Genomic DNA, 21,299 nt, shown 5'->3' with positions numbered 1-21,299 from the left:
CAGAAGCTTACCAAGTACTAATATTCTGCAATCCAAATGCTTTAATGAAGTGGTTAACATTTAATTTATATTTTACAAAGTATGTTTTCCTCATATTTGTGGCTAAGTTTCAGCAGAAGGGTTTTGTTATTAAGTAATACTTTTTGTCCTGCCACCCATATAAACATCTTTCATATCAGATTTCATTCCAAGGATGTTTCAAGAAACCATTCGGTTCAAACACGTTTGTGACCTCTGTTCTTCAGGCCCCAGACACACAAAGATGAAGGCCAGGTGAATTTAGGTGCATCAATCATTACTTAAAATGTGCCTCTTAATCTCAACCAACCACAGCAGGCAAAAGAGGAAGAAAGACTAAAAGCTCTACCCAAACACTAACAGTAGTTGCTTCTAAGTGACATTTTTCTGCCACATTATACTTCGGTATGCTCCAAATTTTCTACAATAATCTGGTTTGGTTTAAATAGGAACACAAAAGAGTATATCCTTGTAATGGGGACAAAAATAGGAAGATCAATAAGACCTAGTATTTGCTAGCACAACAGGGTGACTATAGTAAAAAAAAAAACAATTTAATTGTAAATTTTCAAATAACTAAAAGAGTACAATTGGATTGTTTGAAACATAAAGGATAAATGCTTTTGGTGACAGCTACCCTATGTACTCTGATGTGATTATGCATTGCATGCCTATGTCAAAATATCTCATGTAACCCATAAATATATACACCTACTAGGTACCCACAAAAATTAAAAATTAAAAAACAAGAATATATCCTTGAAGCTGGGAACTTTTACTTGCTAATAGATGGTACAGAATTTACTGCAATGAGATTCTGCTTGTATACTAATAATTTTTACTTTAAAACAGACTTTAAATACAGAGTTTATATCTCAGATATAATTTAATGCAACATCTGCTTTCTAAAGATGCAAAAATCGAGATGGTAGGATCGCTTGAGCCCAGGAGGCAGAGGTGGAGGTTGCAGTGAGCAGAGATTGCGCCACTGCCCTCCAGCCTGGGCAACAGAGCGAGACCCTGTCTCAAAAAAAAAATGCAAAAATTAAGAGTCACAGTTGAAATGATTTGTTTAAGATCACACAAATAGTAACAGTTTCAGGACTAAAGCCAATGTTCTTGATTTCTAACTCAGAGCTCCTTCCACTATGACACTGTTTGAATTATGCTTCTCTGAAGTCCACCACCAACTGGGGAGCATCTGCGGTGTATGAGGTGCTACTGGAATACAAAGATGGCTAAGAAAGAGCTATTCCCTGGACTCACGGGAGGCAGTTCAAAAAAAAAGAAGGCCGGGCGCGGTAGCTCACACCTGTAATCCCAGCACTTTGGGAGGCCGAGGCAGGCAGATCACCTGAGGTCAGGAATTCGAGACCAGCCTGGCCAACATGGTGAAATCCTGTCTCTACTAAAAACACAAAATTAGCTGGGCGTGGGGGCGCATGCCTGTAATCCCAGCTACTCGGGAGGCTGAGGCAGGAGAATCGATTGAATCCAGGAGGCGGAGGTTGCGGTGAGCCAATATCGCGCCATTGCACTCCAGCCTGGGCAACAGAAGCGAAACTCCGTCTGAAAACAAAACAAAAAAAAAACCAAAACAAAAGAAAGAAAGAAAGAAAAAAGACAAGGCCAGGCACGGTGGCTCACGCCTGTAATCCCAGCACTTTGGGAGGCCGAGGCAGGCAGATCACCTGAGGTCAGGAGTTCAAGACCACCCTGGCCAACATGGTGAAACCCCGTCTCTACTAAAAATACAAAAATCAGCCAGGCGTGGTGGCCTATGCTTGTAATCCCAGCTACTTGGGAGGCTGAGGCAGGAGAATCACTTGAACCCGGTAGGCGGAGGTTGCAGTGAACCGAGATCGAGCCACTGCAGTCGCTCCAGCCTGGGCGACAGAGCGAGACTCCGTTTCAAAAAAAATAAAAAATAAAAGACAAATTGACATGAGTTCTGCTTTCACTATTAAAAAACCTTTAGTACCTACAGGTGAAACTTAGCTTTTGATTTTTCCCCTTCTTGGAAAGAGTCTGCATTTAGTCAGCTAACATTCTAGTACCACTCACAAGCTAAAGATCTTCCGTAATTTGCAAGGGAGGCAGTAGGGGGATGAGAGTTATAAGTTAGCTAACAACCAACTATTCTTTAAAGCTTAACTGTGAACTTAACTGCAATTATGCATTTCATTGACCTTCTCTAGTGTAATACCAGCTCGTCCCTTAGAAAAGAGGAAAATACACTTACGTTTTTATTTCTAGTGGTTCTAAGAACTTGTGATTTGGCTCCAGATTCCTACATGAAAACACTGCATATATTCACCTCCTTCTCTTTTCACCGCATTCGAGTTTTTCTGTCTACTACACAAAATGATAGATAGGGCCAGGTCTGCCAGAACCCTAAATACAGCGGCATCGCCCTGCTTCCTTCCAGGGGATCTTACTATTGGAAGGGCTCTGCTACACAGTACCTCAGACATCCAGAAGAGAGTTTATCTTCCCTCCAACTTCTATATATTCTTGCCATAAGGACAGCACTACCAAAGCGGGCTCCTCCTCTCAGTTGACAGAACGGTGACTGCCTGCGAGGCTCATTCTGAGATAGGGACAAGGGAAAGGGACCGGGGCGATAAGTGAGGGTCCCAGCTTGAGGGCTGGAGTGGGCACCAGACTCCCACCAACGACTAAACCGGGGGAAGTAAAGAAACTGGCCTTCCCCGCACCCAAAAATAAAACATCACATCACTAAAAAATGTAAACGTTCGCAACATTTTCTAAAACAAAGCCACTCACCTGCAAAGGGGCCACCAGCAGCAGCAGCAGCAGCAGCAGCCGCTCCTCCGAGCCGCCAAAGAGCCAGCGCCTCCTAGGACTCATCACTGCCGCCGGCATCGACGCTCTTTTCTAGCCCCTGAACCAGACGTGGGCAGGTCCTAGGGCTCTGCCTATTGGAAAGTCGAACTGTCACTCATCCACGGTCCCGGCCTACTCCCGGAACAGGAGAGGTCTCTTCCGTTTACCAAATCCCAGGAGTAAGAAGTGGGGCTCTGATTGGTTTACTCTAGAGACGAGCACATACCTGAACCAGTAAGGAGTTGGCTTCGACGCCAGCGGGCAGGCTTGGGCCTAGGGAAGTAGAAAAACACACCCTAGAGCGTCGCTGGTGCAAAACCTCGGGTGCGGGGAGCATCTTAGCTGTTTGAGGTTCTAGAAAGCGTTTAACGTCTTAAAAGAAACACCTGCGGGTGAAGACAGGTGTCAGCGGACTCTTGGAAGAGAGGAGGTGATGTTTCTTTTACTTATGGGAAATTTAGGGATTGAAACCTGAAGACGAAGCCGAGGTATCCTCCCAGAAGAAGCTCCTTTCGCACAAATTACTCGTGGTTGAAAGTCTTAAGTCGTGATTAAAACAAATGCCTTTAAAGTGCCCAATTTATAGGCAGTAACGCAACCTTACTTTCTCTTACCGCTTTTATAGGGATTCCCCTAGGCAGTTTGCTGACAGTATTTTAGGTGGGGAAGAAAAGTGATTAATGGAATGCCCTAAAAGCTTATTGCACAGAGGAAGGGAGGCTAGAGTGGAATGAGAGAATGACAAATTTGGAGGCGACAATAACTGAACAAGAGAAATCTATGAAAACACCGGAAACCTGGCACGAGGCCTTAAAAGCTTCTAAGCAGGCTTGAACTACCACACGAGGTTTTGAAGCATATGTGTCAGAACTCTTGGGTGGGCGGGAAAGATAAGGAATGTTATGGGAGATTCCCTTCTTAGAAGCTATCCTAAGTAGTGTTTCGTGTCCTCCTGTGAGTTTTTCCTGTTTCATCCTCCTAACAAATGCATTAGGTTTGTGACACGCAAGCAAGTCCTCAGAATAAATTATACATACAGTTGAAAAGATAATCTTTCCACATTTGAAATTCTGTGACACACTCTTTATTGAACTCATTAAGACCTAATCGTAGCCAGTTCTGTATCTCATTTATCCATGTTAGAGCATGACAGTTCCTCCTGGGATATCAACAGAACTTTACTTCCGGGACGGCACTAATCCGAGGCTTGACAGGTCCCAGCAGGTGATAGGTCTCACCTAGTGATAGTTAGAATTTAACTTGCACAAGATTAACTAGAGTTCAGGCCAGAACAGCTGGAAGGGGCAGCTTCCAAATCTTATACATTTGCCCTCTTGCTTTTTTCTCAATATCAGTTGAGGACAAAGTAAGGAGAAAGCTTTTCTTCTACAGTGTAATAAAGCTCCTATTCAGAGTGCCCACCATCCATACTCCGGAGGCTAATGACAGTCATTACCAAGTGACAGTCTTGTGGCATTTGGCATTTAGGGCTACTTAGTCTGGACTTAAGGGCGCCTACTCATTGGATTTAAGTTTACTGTTGTTATGGACACCCATGGAATGCTAGCTTGTCACATAAAACCTTAATATCAAACATCACTTGCCTTTTAGAATCATTCGCAAGAGTATGTGGCTTATGAATGAGTCATTTTGATATAAGATGGAAGCTTATATCAGTGATTCTGTCTAGAAGGAATTAAAAAGCAGATTTTCATCAGGAGCAAGCATGTTTGTAAGACAAATGTGCACAGAGGCTAACAGAATTTCAGGAGTTACTTTTGCCCTATGGCAAGATTGTTCTCCATACTTAATTATGTTACAGTATCATATCCTGAACCCTGTGTCCTGGTCTATTCGATGAGCTGTCTCTCTTATGAATTTTTAAATAACGAGGTCGTGGTTCACAAAGATGATCATAAATCCATTTAAGGCAAAGATGAACTCCAAAGAATATTAGACTTGTACAAACTTAGTACTTGACAGGGCTTTGGAAATTAAACTCTAGCTCCTTGTTGTACAGATAAAGAAACTGAAGCTTAAGTGATGTGCTCAGAATTACTTGGTTGGGGACAAATCCTGGGCTAGGACCCAAGGTTGCTAATTCATATAATTCTGGGAAGATGCTTCCTCTTCCTGCTGCCTTCTCCTCCTCACCCCAAAAGCAATGTATTTTTTAAATTAAGATTAATTTTAGGATTCACTTCCATTGAAGACCAGTCATGAGGACTTCAGTTCTGATACAGCAAGTGATATAGATACTATGAAAATAATTCAGTGTCATCAAACAGCTTTTGATGTAGTCTCACTTTTATCCAAACAAGAAATGAAAAGCAATAAATTATTATAGCTATGTTGTCTCTTTGTCTTCCTTTCTGTTACAGGTGTATATCAAAAAGTCAGTATTAACCCATGTGATACTTTGAGTTTTAGTTGAAAATTGTCTTCCTTGTGACCTGAATAAACCACTATTTTATTGATAGCATACATACCTGGTCAAAATAATTTCACAGTTATGTGCACAGAGCCTCTAGCCTTTTCCACGTATGGCTGAATTGGTCCACCGTGCATCAAAACATCATCCACGGACCTAGGCTATTCTCCCTTTTGCTAGCCTAGCAGAACCATTGGCTCCCTCCTTCCAGCAAACTCCAGAGTTAGCTAGTTCTATATGCCATGTACAGGAGTGTCTCCTTTTCTTCACAGTATCAGGACACACCATGAGTTGGTTATTTGCTGCCAGTGTTTAGTCTCCAACTGTACCCTACTTACTTCAGGGTCAGATTAAAATTTACCACTCGTAACCTAGTATAATAGACCTATGCGTGGCCCCCATCATTGACCTCCTAAGTACAAGACTCCCTTTTCTGAAACTAAAAACTGGAAATGCTGTTATGGGTCAGCCATCCAGACCTCTCAGAAGGGACCTTAAAGTCTGTCCCTTTCTTTCAGAAGTTAAAACTTAGAATCCTCATCTTCCTCACAGAGTAGGGTGAAGAATCATGGAGGCAGTTTTGGAATAGCTTTGCAATCTTTGAAGCACCTTGTGTCTGTCACTTTCCAGCACTGGGAACTCAGGGGCTTAATTGGACTTACAGTTCCATGTGGCTGGGGAAGCCTCACAATCATAGCTAACTCTAGAGTTTGCTGGAAGGAAGGAGCCAATGGTTTTGCTAGGCTAGCAAAATGCAGAATAGCCTAGGCAAATTGCTTGACCTCAGCCTCAGTGTCTTTATCTGTTAAACAGAGATAATACCCAAATCGCTAATGTGAAAATTAAGTGGGATAATGTGATGTGTGCCTGCCACATGGAAAGCATCTCATAAATGGTAGTTGTTATTCTTAACAATTATGGTAATGATAAATGTAAAGCATTTTACCTATTTACAAGTATTCTTATTCAAATTACTCAGTAAAGTCTTGGCATTGCGCTTGCCTCTTTTTCCTGCTCTCCACTCAAGTGGAGACCTGGACTCTTGCAGAGGGCATGAGACTGGGATTTCCCCAGCTATCTTGCAGCTACCCAGGGAGGTAATGGGCAGGAAGTGAATGCCAAAGAGGGTACAGACCCAGTGGCAGAGCCAGGAACCTCTGGTATTGGGAAGCCTGATCTATGTGAAATTCCCCTACAGTAAAACTAAACATTGACTAAGCACCTTGGCATAGGAAAAGAGCCAGGTTGATTTTTTTTCCCCACTACTTTCAGATCTGGGACAAGGATAGGGGAAAAAGGTAGAAACATGAGGAATCAAGAGAGGTGCTTTCCTCTTTTACAAATTCTCTACTCCACTAAGGAAAAACCCATGTTTCTTTAAATGCTTGTTGTTTATATGCTGGTAAACACAAACTCTGCCCTATGGAGTTTTTTTTAAAGCTTATATTTATTAATTATAAATTTATGTTTTAAAATGTTTATTGTATAAGGTTTAGAAAAGAAAAAACTTAAAATACCTATAATCCCACCCTCCAGAATTTATTTTTAACATTTTGTATATCCTATTTTTCCCATAAATCAATTACTTAAAAAAAAACCTGGACTCTTAGTATATATACTGTTTTGTGGCAATCTTTTCTACTTAATTTGTTATTAACATGTCCCAATGTCATTTAATATTTTTCTTCCGTATATAATCCCATTACGTGAATGTGCATCCAGGTGGTATGTACAAGAGTAGAGAACTGTCCAACCAATTCTCTACTCTTGGGCATTGAACTTGTTTCAGTTTCCTAAAAAGATTCATTGATTTAAATGGGCTGCTGCTTTCTCTAAATGACGGTGCTCCGGGAATGTCTACTGAACCAATGGCAATGCCTACTGGCTCCACCCTTTCTTCATGGAGACTGATAAAGTGGCCAGGAATTTTTTTCTCTATGTTCTGATATTACAGAGCTAAGAAAGGTGAAGATAGTAGCCTGATAGCTACTGAAGGATTTCTGCTTACCCTCTGTCTCCACAGAGTTTTCTATTCTTTAACCTGAAGAAAAGGTGTTTAGCTGAGGAGCCAGGGTGGGGAGGTGATATGGAGGGGATGGTGGATGGAAATCAGAGTTTGTATTAGTCCATTTTCACACTGCTGATAAAGACATACCCAAGACTGGGCAATTTACAAAAGAAAGAGGTTTAATTGAAGTTTCAGTTCCATGTGGCTGGGGAAGCCTCACAAACATGATGGAAGGCAAGGAGGAGCAAGTCATGTCTTACATGGATGGCGGCAGGCAAAGAGAGAATGAGAACCAAACGAAAGAGGTTTCTCCTTATAAAACCATTAGATCTCGTGAGACTTATTCACTATCATGAGAACAGTATGGGGAAAACCGCTGCCATAATTCAATTATCTCCCACCAGGTCCCTCCTACAACAGTGGGAATTATGGGGGATACAATTCAAGATGAGATTTGGGTGGGGACACAGCCAAACTATCAGGGCTCCATCAGTAAATCCTCACAAAACTCCTGGCATATGTGTCCCCATTTACAGATGAGGAAAGTAAAACTGGGAGAGATAATTTTTCTAAGACTGCACAGCTAGTTACAAAACCAGAGTCTGACTCTTAGCCTTTGTTCTAAGCTCTTCCCACCATGCACTGCTCCTAAAAACTTATTGATATAACTTCATTCTTCTTTTCTTTGGAAAATTTGTTGTCAGTCATCTAAGATGTATTTATCTGCTCCCTAAAAATAAAATTAAAAAACCCCTCCTGACCAGGATTTTCTTCTGCCTATGGGCTTCCCCAGTCAGCTAGCTCTTGGATAAAAGAACATATCCTCATTCTTTGATGAAGACTCAGATAACATAACTTTTCCCCTACATACATGCATATTTTCTTAAAGAAGTGACCTCACTCTACAAGTTGGAAGGTCAAACTCATAAAAGGAAGTCTTTATGAACCCTGCATCAACTTAAGAACATTACACACATATTTGTTTCCTTAGCTTTGGGGATTTATGAAATATTTTCTATATAGCAATAAGCCTATTTTTCTGCTATGGTTTATACACTGGTTCTGACGTAAGTTCTGAAAGAAGCTTCTCAGAATTGTTGACACCCATGAAGCATCTTTGAAATGGGTGTGTAACCTCATAATATAACACTTAGAAGGCAGTGACACTTACGTGGAAGTGTAATTTCTAGAATGTCTCATTAAAGCCTCTTTACACAATCTAATCCAAATCAGTATCAATCAAGGTTTATGTTTCAAATATTTTTTTCCATCCTCCTCATCCTATTCACAGACACACCACACCCCTAACACACTACCAACACCTTAGCCCAAGCTACCATCACCTCTTGCCGGCATTTTCTCAGTAGCCTCCTAACAAGTCTTTCTGAATCCACTTTTACTCTCTTCTAGGCAGCCAGGGGTGGGTGATATGGTAGAATACCTTAGTGATTGTGTCACAAGTCACCCCCTACCACTCCCCAGCTTAGAACAGTGGCTTCCCATTGCTCCTTATAGTGACCCTTCCTTCTCCCTATGATCATTTGGCCTTCACACATGTGTATTCCCTACCTAGAATGCTACATCCTTCCCCTCCTTCTCTTCTTCCTCCCTTCCCCACTCCCTGCCCCTTAGTCTAATGATTCCTATTCAACTTTGATATTTATTGAGTGGTCATCCTCCTGGAAAAACTTGATCCTACCTGGCTTATATCTCCTAGGCACCGTGCACTTCTTCTTTATAGAACTTTACACAAATCTACTTACACTGTATATGATCTGTTTCTCCATTGGTCTTCAAGCTCCCTAAACATATGGGCCCTGTTGCTTTGGTTTACCACTTGTCCACAATGTCTGGCATTAGGTGCTCAATTAATATATGTTAATAAATGAATGCATCAAAAAAGAAATAGATTAAATTTCCTGTCTTTTTTTTTTTTGCTAAATAGTACTTTTTGTGTATAGATTCACACAAATAAATAAGTACATGTCTTTTTAAAAACATTTATGCCTTTAGACCCTAGGAGTTTACAATAAAATGTGATATATATAAACTTATAAGAATAATGTTAAATTTTATGTGTGGACTGAAAATGTTAGCTCTGAAAGAAACAGAAATCATGTAGCTCAACTCCCTTATTTTATAGTTGAGAAAATAGAGGCTCAAAGTAGACGAAAGAATTGCTTAAATACAAAAGCAGTTAAAGCACAGAATGAGAATTGAAGTTTCTTATGTATAGGGTAAAATCAACCTTCTTAATTGTTTTCTCTTGTTTTCTTCCAGAGAAAAACAGATGTAACACGCAACTGGGAGGCCTTCCTAGGGCAGTGAAAGGCTGGTCCTAGCAGATAAGGTTCCAGGGGCTGCACTAGGTAGAGAAAGGCATATGATTACTTAGTCAAAACAAGTGCCAGGCCACAGATGCTAGTCAGCTGAGATGACATGAAGCCTAATGGGTCTGAAAAATAGAGAGGGGAAAACTTTTTAAGAAATCTAAAACAGTATAAAAATCACAACGGAGAGTAAAGGCTATCTATTTAAAGATGAAATCATCTTAAACCTCTAAACTAAGCCCGTCTATGTAAAATACTTTTTCTTTGGGTGTAAGCATTTTGGAGGCTACCTGAGATTCTAAGGGGCACCCTTTTTAAAAATGTTCTCTACTGGCTTTGAGAGCTGTTGTTTCTATAGCAACTTATAGTTGTTATTTTATGTCTAGAGAGATGCTACTTTTTTCCTAAAGAGCTATGATTCCAACATGAGTGAGACAAAGTTCTTTATGTTTCTCATTTAAGTACTCACAGAATCCTTATAAAATAAAATCCTTATAAAATAAATTTAATAAAATTTATTTTTATAATAAAATTTAAAAATATAAAATTAAAATAAAAATATAAAATTTAAAAATAATAAAATGTAAGAAATAGCTTGACTGGCTTCATTTATTAGTAACTTTTGAAATAAGGAATGAAGAGAGTAAATAATTAATTGTTTATATCATCAGTCAGTACCAACCACTAAATTCCAGTCTCTGCCAGGTGAGTGTCCTAACTAGTTTCTGATGTTGTCACTCTGTGAGGTATCAGATAAGAGGAATAGGTAAATTGCTGTTTGCAACCAGAAGATGTAAAAATCAGATAGGGAAGAAAAATCACTCTCATATGATGTTCTCTTTACTAAGTTACGACTTATAAAGTGAGTAATGGCAAAGGCTTCAAAGCTTGGTAATTCGAAGTAAGATGATGTTTAGATTGCTAGGATCCTGGATCACTATCACAGCCGAAACAAAGAAGGAACTGCAGTGCCAAATGACATACATGTCTTCACCATCAGAATACCAACAAGTGTATAAAGGCCTGGCATTGATATATTGCTAGAGTTTCCCTTCTGTAGATAATTGTTTTTATGCACAGCAGGAAAGGACCTGTGTTCTCAGCTCCAAACCCAGCTATATTCAGTAAAACAAGAATAGACCAACCTCTAACAAAATATTATGGAAAATGCTTTCATTTCTTTTCTTCTGAAAAAAGGTAACTATAGCATATTCTCTTCTCCTAAACTCATCTATTTCCTTATGCTTTGCTGCATCTCTGCCCTCTCTAAAAATGGGAGAAAAAGGAGAAAAAAAAAGGATAAAGAAGAAGAATAAGTAAAGTCTTCAGAAGTGTACAGGTTCTGGTCTCAACTAGCAAATCAATAAGTAACCAATTATTCATTGAATTCCTCCTAATGTTCAAGAACTTGTGTTAGGAATTTTGAAGGAAATGAATTAGTATTTTTCGTGCCTACTATAAACAAGTCACTGTGCCAAGTACAAGAGATATATAAATAAATTAAACATCCTCCTTGTCCTCAAGGTCCAGTAGGGGAAAGACTAACTCAAGTGTTTGTTACAGTCCAACAAATACAAGTGCAAGTAGAATGAGTAAGGGCTCACAGAGTATTTTGGGGTGGAAAGGGAGAGCGTAAGTGCAGGGTTGTAATAAGTTTAGATATTTGATGGAAGAGGTGAATTCTGAGCAATGTTTAAATATGCACAGAATTTCCAGTCAGAATTGCATAGTAGGTTTCCACTGTAAACATCCAGCAGTATTAAATAACATAAAAAGAAAATGCCCAAAATATATTCTAGGGTTCGAAAACAGTATAAACATTTCCGTGGACCAAAGACAGAATAGAAACACAGAGCCAAAGCCCTGATGTGCTCTGAGAGCAAAGGCCGCTGTAGAGGATGCTATTTCCACTCCTCCCAGGTAGCACGGTCTAGCATGTACTACACTAGAAGGTGGTTGCTTAAGGGGTGGGGCTTCCTGTTTTGAAAGAGGTTGGGAATCCTGAACTGCTGCCATTGCTGCCTGGGGCAACGGCATATCTCAACCAGCAACAGAAGAAGAACTCAAGGACATTAGATGCAGTCTTTCCACTGGAAACTGGCCTGGAAGAAACAGTGGAGAGACTGAAGATACTGGAGATGAAGTGCTGGAAACCTGGTGGGGTCAGAGGAGCAGGGAAAGCACAGTCTTTGAGCTCATTCTTCTAAAGTGGCCCTTTCTTGGATCACATTTTAAAAGAAATACATTGACATAGGTTTAAAGACTCTGATAATGGAAATTAGAGGGAGCGGTATGAAAGGAACTCTGTGACCATGGAGAATTAGTCAATGTGAAGATTCCTCCCAACTAGCAGTATAGACTTCCTTGCCTGGCCCCACCCCCAGACTAAATCCTTGTGTTATACCCTCCATGTGTCATTTACAGAAAGAGGTGGGATTGGAGCACAGTAACTACTCTGCTGATTTCCCAATACTGGCTAATTTTTGAAATTGTCTATCCATTCTTTCTTGGAAGAGAGGCACGTTTTTTTCGGCTCAAATACCCTCATTTGTTGCTTAGAAAATACCATCTATCAGCTGGGTGTGGTGGCTCATTCCTGTAATCCCAGCACTTTGGGAGGCTGAGGTGGATTGATCGCAAGGTCAGGAGTTTAAGACCAGCCTGGCCAACATGGTGAAACCCTGCCTCTATCAAAAATACAAAAAAAAAAAAAAAAAAAAAAAAAGAAAAGAAAAAAAAATTAGCCGGGCATGGTGGCATTCACCTATAATCCGAATTATTCAGGAGGCTGAGGCAGGAGAATAGCTTGAACCTGGGAGGTGGAGGTTGCAGTGAGCTGAGATCATGCCACTGCACTTCTGCCTGGGCCACAGAGCGAGACTCCATCTAAAAAAAAAAAAGAAAAGAAAATACCATCTATCGCTACAGACACAGGTAAGAGAAATGAATGTAGCCTTGAAAAGGAAGTGAAAGAAGGCCTGAATGATAGAAATGTGGTCTGGGCTTTTCTTAATTGTTGTCCAAGGGGGCACCTTCCTAGGACCCAAAGAAGTTTAAAACAAAATGTGGGCAATGAGGCCTGGAAAACCATTGAGGTGACACTAGCTTTGGTAAACTCACTATGTGTAAGGTTTCCCACTCAATTTTGTAGACTCAGAAGCTCAGCCCACCATTTTATAAGCTATAAAAGATAATGATTCTATTGTTTCCAAGGTTTTTATGATGTATCTCCTTGTTTTTTCATGCACCACCAAATATAAACTCACTATTCCAATCACTGTAAATTTTGAAACTATTACTAAAAAGTGGCTTGGTGCCCAGCAATTATCTCCCAGCAATCTCTAATCAACCATTCTTATAAGTTACTGTCATTGAACCAAATGGAAATATTTAATTCAGTTTAATATCTGTACAGATACCCCATTTTATTGCTCTTCACTTTACTTCATGCTGCAGATACTGCATTTTTCACAAATTGAAGGTTTGTAGCAGCCCTTTGTCAAGCAAGTCCATTGGCGCCATTTTTTTCCAACAGCATCTGCTCACTTTGTATCTCTTCCACATTTTGATAATTCTCAGGACATTTCAAACTTTTTCATTATTATATATGTTATGGCGATCTGTGATGAGTTGTCTTTAATGTTACTATTGTATTGCTTTGGTGTGCAATGAACTACACCCATATACTACATCAAAGTTAATTGATAAATGTGTGTGTTCTGACTGCTTGACTGACCAGCCATTCCCCCATCTCTCCCCATTTCCTCGGGCCTACTTATTCTCTGAGACACAACAACATTGGAATTAGGCCAATTAATAGTCCTACAGTGACCTGTAAGTGTTCCAGTTAAGGGAAATCACATGTCTCTCACTTGAAATCGAAAGCTAGAAATGATTAAGCTTAGTGAGGAAGGCATGTTGAAAGTCAGAGAGGCTGAAAGCTAAGGCTCTTGCACCAAACAGCCAAGCTGTGAATGCAAAGCAAAAGTTCTTGAAGGAAATTAAACTCTAGGGAACACACAAATGATAAGAAAGTGAAACAGTGTTATTGCTGATATGGAGGTTTTAGTGGTCTAGATAGGAGATCAAGCTAGCCACAACATTCCCTTAAGTCCAAGCCTAATCCAGAGCAAGGCTGTAACTCTCTCCAATTTTATAAAGGCTGAGAAAGGTGAGGAAGCTGCAGAAAAAAAGCTTCAAACTAAAGAGAAAAAAGTTGGAAGCTAACAGAGGTTGATTCATGAGGTTTAAGGAAGGAACGTGTCTTTATAGCATTAAAATGCAAAGTGAAGCAGCAAGTGCTCATGTAGAAGCTGCAGCAACTTAGCCAGGAGATCTAGCTAAGATCATTGATGAAGGTGGCTACACTAAACAGATTTTTAATGTAAATGAAACAGCCTTCTATTGGAAGAAGTTGCCAACTCGGACTTTCATAGCTAGAGAGAAGTCAATGCCTGGCCTTTTCTTATCTTTCATGGCCTTGATATTTTTGAAGAATAGACATTATTTTGTCAAATGTCCCTCAATTTTGAGTTCGTCTAATGTGTTCTTGTGATTGAACTCTAGTTATGCATGTTGTGTGAGACTACCATGAAATGATGCTATGTCCTCACTGCATCAAATTGCAGGGCTCATGATGTTGATATCTTATTACTGGTAGTGGTAACCTCGATCACTTGATTAAGTTGCTTTCTGCCAAGTTTCTCCCTGGTAAAATTACTGTCTTTCTCTTTGTCGTCAATATTTTAGGGAAGGTATTTTGAAATGATTCAAACTTTATTTCGACTCAAACTTTCACCCACTAATTTTAGCATCTCTTGATGGAGGATGTCTGCAAGAGTTATTATGGTGGTATTTAGTGAAGACTTTTTGTGTTTTTCTTTCATTTTACATTTATTAATTCAAATTCTATCACAAGGAAGAGCTGTCCCATCTCCCCTATTTATTTATTTATATCAGTATGAATTCATGGAAGCTTATTATATTTTATGGTTTATAATCCAATACTATACTGTTGACTCTTGAATACCATGGGAATTAGGGCCACTGACCCCCATGCAGTAAAAAAATCCACTTATAACTTTTGGCTCCCAAAAAATTTAACTACTTCCAGCATACTGTTGGCCAGAAGCCTTCCAGAAAACGTTATCAATTAATACATATTTTGTATATGTATGATATACTGTATTCTTAAAATAGACAAAATAAAATGTTATTAAGAAAATTATAAGGAAGAGAAAATATGTTTACTATTGATTAAGTGGAAATGGATCATCATAAAGGTCTTCATCATCGTCGACTTCACACTGAGTAGGCTGAGGAGGACGAGGAAGAGGAGGTGTTAGTCTTGCTGTCTCAGGGTGGCAGAGGTGGAAGGAAATCCATGTGTATGTGGACCCTCACAGCTCAAACCCATGTTGTTCTAGGGTACACTGTATTTATTTTGCTGCTCTGATTGTTCCAGGTTTGGCAATTAGGAGCTCCTTAGTGATTGGCTGCTGTGTTTTTGTTTGTTTTTGTTTCGTGGAGCATTTTCTTACTCTCTGGCACTACAAGATATTCCAAGATCATCTTGTTTATTACTTGCCCTAGCCCTGGAATCAGCTATTTCTCCAAGGAAGCTGGTTCCTTTTATTGCAGAATGGTGTTTGAAAACCAAAATCTGAGCATTAGGTGTGAAATTGGCTAAAATTTCTGACAATTTCATGTTGGTGAGAATGCAAAGTAATAAGCTCATAGGAATTGGTAAAACTAATTTGGAAAACAATTCGGCATTAGCTGTAAAGTTGTAGGTAAGTACACTTCATGAACCAGTAATTTCATTCCTAGGTGAATACCTTGGAGAAAGTTTGGCATATGTACAGCAAGAGTCATATACAGCTTTGTTTATGATAGCACAAAACTGAAAATCACCCAAAAGCCCAGTAGTAAGAGAACAGATGAATAAAATGGAGTACTGTAAGCTGTGAAAATGAATGAACCACAGCTATACACATCAACACGGATAAATCTCAGATACATAATTTTGAGCAAAAAAAAAAAAAGAGAGAGAATGATTTCATTTACATAAAGTCCAACAATATGCAAATAAATAATGTATATATTTGTAGGGATGCATAAGTGATAAGATGATACAACTAGAACGAAAAGGAAAATTATTACAAAATCCAGGTTACAGGTTGGGTATGGTGTGCAGTTGGGCTTCAGAGATACTGGTAATATTTCTTAGCTGAATGGTGGGTTAATCACATTCATTTTATTTAGATCATATATATGTGTGGAATATTGCATAATGAAGAAGGAAGTGAAGAAAAAGTAGGGGGGAGCTAGGGGAAAGGAAAGAAAATATAAAGAGGGAAGCAAGAAAAGAAGGGCAGGAAGGACACAGGAAGGGAGAGAAGGAGGGAAAGAGAACCAAAAGAGCACTCCTGTATGTGCTGTGGTCTTCGGATCCGGTGAAGTTCAGATTGTGACACCAAATATATGTGTGTCTTTAGATGAGCCACTAAACTCTAATAAGCCTCAGTTTTCACACCAGTTAAATTGGAACAACGTGCTCTGGCCTGTGTAGTTCACACTGTTATTGTGAAGATAAAATGGAATATTTACATCTATTATATTTATACCTATTATATCTATATAATAGCACTTCAAAAAGTGTCCTACAATGTAAAGCAAAAAGAAAAGTAATACATCAAGTTATCATCTTGATTCCTAATGCCAGATATGGTGTATCTCGATATTTACATGTAATTTCATATTCAGTGACTATTTAACTTACATCCCAGTCCTTTCTCAACTAAAATATAAAGAAGAAAGCAGACATTTTGCTATGCCTTTCACAAAGGTTAGTTTGCTCTTCTGACAAAATTTATAGAAGAGCAGCTTACCGAAAACATTCTGAACTCTCAGGCTGTGGAACCTGAGGTATTTGCTCGTTCTGGAAGGGTAATGTTGGTCTGCTCTCTGGTGGTCAGAGAAGAAAGCACATATGAAGGGGTTGTCAATCCGGTCTCAGTTTAAAAAAATACATTAATAATCAAGATAGCAGCTACCATAATTTATTATGTGCCAGGTTCTGTGCTAACTACTTAGTTCTCATTATCTCGTTTAGTCCTCACAACAACCCTGAAAGATATACTACATCACATTAGCCTCATATTTTTAGGTGAGAATTTAGGGTCACAGAGATTTGAATTAAATGGCCCATGGTCACCAAGTGAGTGATGGACAGATTGCCTCCTCAGAGGTGTCTGTGGCCAAAAGCCCACACTCAGCATCCACCTCAAATGTCTATTGGACAACTGAGATCTCCTTAGAGATCTTAACATCTTGTGGTACTTTAATTGTCTCATTGTCCCTCTTCTTTACTTGGAATAATCATCTTCCCTGTATTTTGACCAGACCCCAAACTGGCTACTTCTAGCCTCCAACTTCTCTAATTACTGACTCTTTATCTTTTGCTTGCTTTATCTTCTATTCTATTAATTAAATTAATTAATTGATTCTTTTATATTATGTAAATAAATAGTATTTACACCATATAGTATTTACACAATAGAATATTTAATATTTAGCTATTCTTTAATTTCTGAAATAAAAACCTACTTGGGCACAGTATATTTTCTAAATATACTGTTAGATTCAATTGTTACATGTTTTATTCAGGATTTCTTATCTATTTTTATTTGAGAGCCTGGTCTGTAATTTTCAATGACTGTTAGATTGTAATTCTAGGTTATTCTAACCTTGTGAGATGAATTGCAAAAGTTCCTGGTTTTGATGCTTTGACATAATTTGGATATCATGGAAATGATCTACACTCTGAATGTCTGATAGGGTTTTTTTTGCATAGTCATTCAAGCTTAGAGATGTTTTATAGGGTAGATCTTTTCATATGCTGTTCACCACCTCACCTTTTCCCTGACCTCTGCTGCTAGCTGGTCTATTCCTGTTTCTTATCTCTTCTTGAATCAATTTTGTTAATTTGTGTTTTCTGTATAATCAGCCATTTCATCTAGATTTTCAAGTTTATGGCACCAAAATTTTATGTTGTATTTTCTTATAATTTTAAAATATCTGTTTTCATTGTACTTATAACCCTTTTGCTATTCAGGTTGCCATCCTTTCTTATTGACTGCAGTAACCTCCTGACTGGTCTCCCCACATCCACTACTTTTCTCTGTGTATCTACCTCATCTTTTATCATTCCTTGCTGAATCCATCTATAGTCAAATAGAGCTATAAGATCTTAACTGCAAACCCACACATCAGAGAAAGCTATTGAAGTAGCAAGGTGGTTGTAGTCTCTTGCTAGCAGATCTGTACTACAAATCACAGCTGGGAGCTGTGGGACAGAGTCCTGTGCCCATTCTTGGGTATCCAGAGTTGTCATTATGTCACTTTCATCTCTAGCTTTTCACACACACACACACCCACACAGACACATATGTACACTTGCCCTTCACTGCTCCCTGCTGTACCCAGCCTAGCTGCATCTATCCAATATACCCTGCCTCCATAGCTCACCTCTGTTACTGGAGGAAGTGAGGAGGTGCTGTATAGGTTATCTTGGAAAAAACAAGTACAACACCTGATGACCAAATGGGAGTCCACAGTGCTACAAGCAAACCTTCAACCATGTGACAACCTTCACTAAACAAACCACTAAAGAAACTCCAATCCAGTTCTACTCAGGCCCACTCTGAAGGGAGGTGGATAAATCCAGAGATAGCAGTCAAATCTTGACTGCTTTAAAACTACCCCCAAATCAGCAAAACATATCCACCTTTTAGAATTTCAGACCCCAGCCTGACTCACCTCATGCATGTACACCTCTCTTTTTTCTCTTAACCTCTTTCATCACATATTTACCATTTATAGCTCTTAGACACCATGACTTTGATGTACAAATCAGCTCTTTCTTGGCCTCTAGCTAGAGCTGCTTTTCATGTTTAATCCTGAGCAGTATTCATCCTTAGCAACTGAGGAAGTTGAGCTGTATACATACACAATGACTGTGTCCTTACAGTATGAATTATTTTTTTAAACATACAATTGAGGATGTATAGTCATAGAGAATGTGCTTCTTTCAACAAACAGGTTATGTATGAAGTAATCAGTAAAGAAGAAAACAATTGAATCCAAATAGAGTATTTTTTCTCCTTCTTTGTGGTATGCAATGCCATATACTTGAATAATTGATATTGACTCAGTTCAGTGGTGTAGTGTGATATAATACGCAAGCATGGCCTGGAGTCAGGAGACTTTAGTCTACTCCTATGATCTGTTACAGTGGCTGTGTGACCTCAGGATAAGTCTACACGACCTTGACAATCATTTTAGCATAGTAGTTTTGGATCCCCAAAAGTGCATAGGTGCTTATTCTTTGATGAATAAGCAATATGAAAGAGATACTGTCCTTGTTCTCAAGAACCTTATTATTTTATGAAAATACTACTTATTTTAAGTAATTAACTATAAGGAAACATTTTCTCTCTTTTACCTTTAGGTGTCAAGCTCTTCTAGCCCCTTTTACAGTTAACTTTTCTCCATGTATTTTGCTATCTTTCTAGCCCTCAGAAAAATAAACATGGTATAATCATGGTTTAAGAAACTAAACCAAACCAAACCCTGTTACCCATGGTTTATTATTCACATCTCACTTCCTTTTTTTTCTTCCAAAGTCAAAACCTTCAGCGGATATAGAGAAAAACATTCTATTCCATTTACTGCTAGGATTATGATGGACTAGATAGAATGACTCTCCCACTACAATATGACTGAAGCCTGGATGAATTTCAAATATAATTTTTAAAACACTGCTACTGAGACATTTATTCCTCCTGATGCCAAATACATGGTGTCTTTTCCAGTATCACTTCTCCAGCTCTCTGGACACCAGCTGAGTGTCCACTCATTCAGTTCAGTTCTAACACTAACAACCCAGAGTTAGTGCAGACGCCACAGGTTTCGAACTCAGTACTACAGGACTACCCCTCAACACAGTCTTCGGATGCCAGCCGTAAGTCCCGGGCCTCCCATCCTTCTGAGTGACCAGCTATAAATCAGAGGTTCTCATGACCCCCTCCTCAGGTTTGATGATTTGTGAGAACAGCTCACCAAATTCACTGGTTTATTATCAATGCTACCACTCTGGAATGGTAAAGTGAAGGAGATTCGTAGGGCAAGGTTTGGGATCAGGGGTATGGGGCTCCCATGCCTTCTCTGGTCATGTCACTCCCCCAGCATCTTGATGTGTTCACCAACCTGGAAGCTCTCCAAATGTCATCATTTAGGGTTTCTTATGGAAGTTTTATCTGTGGGCAATGATTAAATCATTGGCCACCAGCAATCAATTCATTCTCCAGCTCCTTTCCCTGTGCTAGAGATTAGAGGGAGGTGGGTGGAATGTTCCAAGCTTCTAATCAAGGCTGGTTTTTCTGGAACAGCCACCCTCCTGAAGCTACCTAGAAGCCCACAAAAAGTCATGTCACTAGAACAAAAAATACTCCTATCACCCTTTATCACTCAGGAAATTCTAAGAGTTTTGGGAACTGTGTGCCAGAAATCAGGAACAAAGGCCAAGTATCTTTCTATGATATCACACTGACTGACAAGAAATAAGGAATATCCCCATTTGCCAAAAATAGAAAATGAAAAACAACTAAAACTGGAATGATGAACAGTTTAAACAAACGAAAAGGCTAGGATTACCTTGGGGAAAATGTCAGTGCCAGCACTGGAATTCGAAGATTAAGCTCTGGGCTTTCTGCAAAGAAAACGAGACTCTCTCATTAAGCCAATATATTTGAAGAGCTCTAGAGTAGTCCCAGATGAGTACTTCCTCCTGGATCCATAAAGCAAATGCAAATTCCGAATTTAAGGCCTTCTGATTTGGAAATATTAAATTCAATAAAATATAATGTATAATAAGATATTAACAAATATATCATGAACAAAATTAGGAAAAAACAAAAACACACAAGTTCTTGAGAATTTAAGATAATGAAATTATTATAGTAAAAAGCAATTATCAGCAAATGTTTTAAGATATTAAAGATGGAATAAAAACTGAAAAATGATCAAAATATAACTCTAATTTAAAATACCAGGCACATTTGAAAAAAAGAATGAATTAAGATATTTAGAAATAAAAATATCATTATTGAAATCAATAACCCAATAAATTAGCCAGCAGAATATACACAGGAAGAGAGAATTAAATCTAAAGGAAATACTCATAATACAGAGAGATAGGAGATAAATATTAAAGAAGCTAAATGTTATCCTCATTGGAGGATAGAATGAGTAAATATAACATATGTAAGTGCAGTTCCAGAAAGAGAGAATAGAGAAAATAGAGGAAAGACAATATTTGAAGATACAAAGCCTGAGAATTTTCCAGAACTGAAGAAAGGTCATGAATCCACAGATAGAAGAAACAAGAGTCCAAGGTAGACTAGATAAAAAGAAAGCCACTCTCAGATATATTTTAGTAAAACCAAAGACTATTTAAAAGCAGGCAGAAAAAAGAGGTAGAAAATTTACAAAGGTGGAAAAATGATGTCAAGTTTCTCAGTAACAGCAATGGAAGCCAGAATACAGTGGTAATAAAGACATTACCAAAAAAACACGTAGAAATTATTACCAAGAAATCATTTCT

At 38.8% G+C, this 21,299-nt stretch overlaps 1 protein-coding gene and 1 long non-coding RNA gene across 5 annotated transcripts in view, besides 4 other annotated features; one reads left to right on the top strand and one right to left on the bottom strand.

Annotated features, from left to right (window-relative positions):
• BPGM (bisphosphoglycerate mutase) overlaps positions 1-2,890 on the bottom strand; it is a 32,964-nt gene extending 30,074 nt beyond the window's left edge. For 2 of the 4 annotated variants that reach the window (NM_199186.3, NM_001724.5), the window contains exon 1: positions 2,806-2,890. The gene's annotated coding sequence lies outside the window, so the exon portion shown is untranslated. Of the gene's footprint in view, positions 1-2,483; positions 2,609-2,805 lie in introns of those variants that run through there. The other 2 variants (NM_001293085.2, XM_047420761.1) reach the window with 2 other exon arrangements.
• LOC124901750 (uncharacterized) overlaps positions 1-21,299 on the top strand; it is a 224,798-nt gene that overhangs the window by 194,142 nt on the left and 9,357 nt on the right. The gene's annotated exons all lie outside the window — the stretch shown is intronic.
• Positions 2,554-2,663: an enhancer, noted in NCBI's record as "active region_26693". NCBI's record gives its function as "activates an Ori minimal core promoter by ATAC-STARR-seq in GM12878 lymphoblastoid cells {active_cell/tissue: GM12878}" and the evidence as "EXISTENCE:reporter gene assay evidence [ECO:0000049][PMID:35858748]".
• Positions 2,764-2,913: an enhancer, noted in NCBI's record as "active region_26692". NCBI's record gives its function as "activates an Ori minimal core promoter by ATAC-STARR-seq in GM12878 lymphoblastoid cells {active_cell/tissue: GM12878}" and the evidence as "EXISTENCE:reporter gene assay evidence [ECO:0000049][PMID:35858748]".
• Positions 9,457-9,877: a transcriptional cis regulatory region, noted in NCBI's record as "candidate enhancer chr7.4787 targeted for multiplex CRISPR interference". NCBI's record gives its function as "positively regulates BPGM gene expression with high confidence in K562 cells {active_cell/tissue: K562}" and the evidence as "EXISTENCE:mutant phenotype evidence [ECO:0000015][PMID:30612741]".
• Positions 13,608-13,697: an enhancer, noted in NCBI's record as "active region_26691". NCBI's record gives its function as "activates an Ori minimal core promoter by ATAC-STARR-seq in GM12878 lymphoblastoid cells {active_cell/tissue: GM12878}" and the evidence as "EXISTENCE:reporter gene assay evidence [ECO:0000049][PMID:35858748]".

This window comes from Homo sapiens, chromosome 7, assembly GCF_000001405.40.
Source record: "Homo sapiens chromosome 7, GRCh38.p14 Primary Assembly".
NCBI lineage: Eukaryota > Metazoa > Chordata > Mammalia > Primates > Hominidae > Homo > Homo sapiens.
This window is presented reverse-complemented; position numbering and strand designations above follow the sequence as displayed.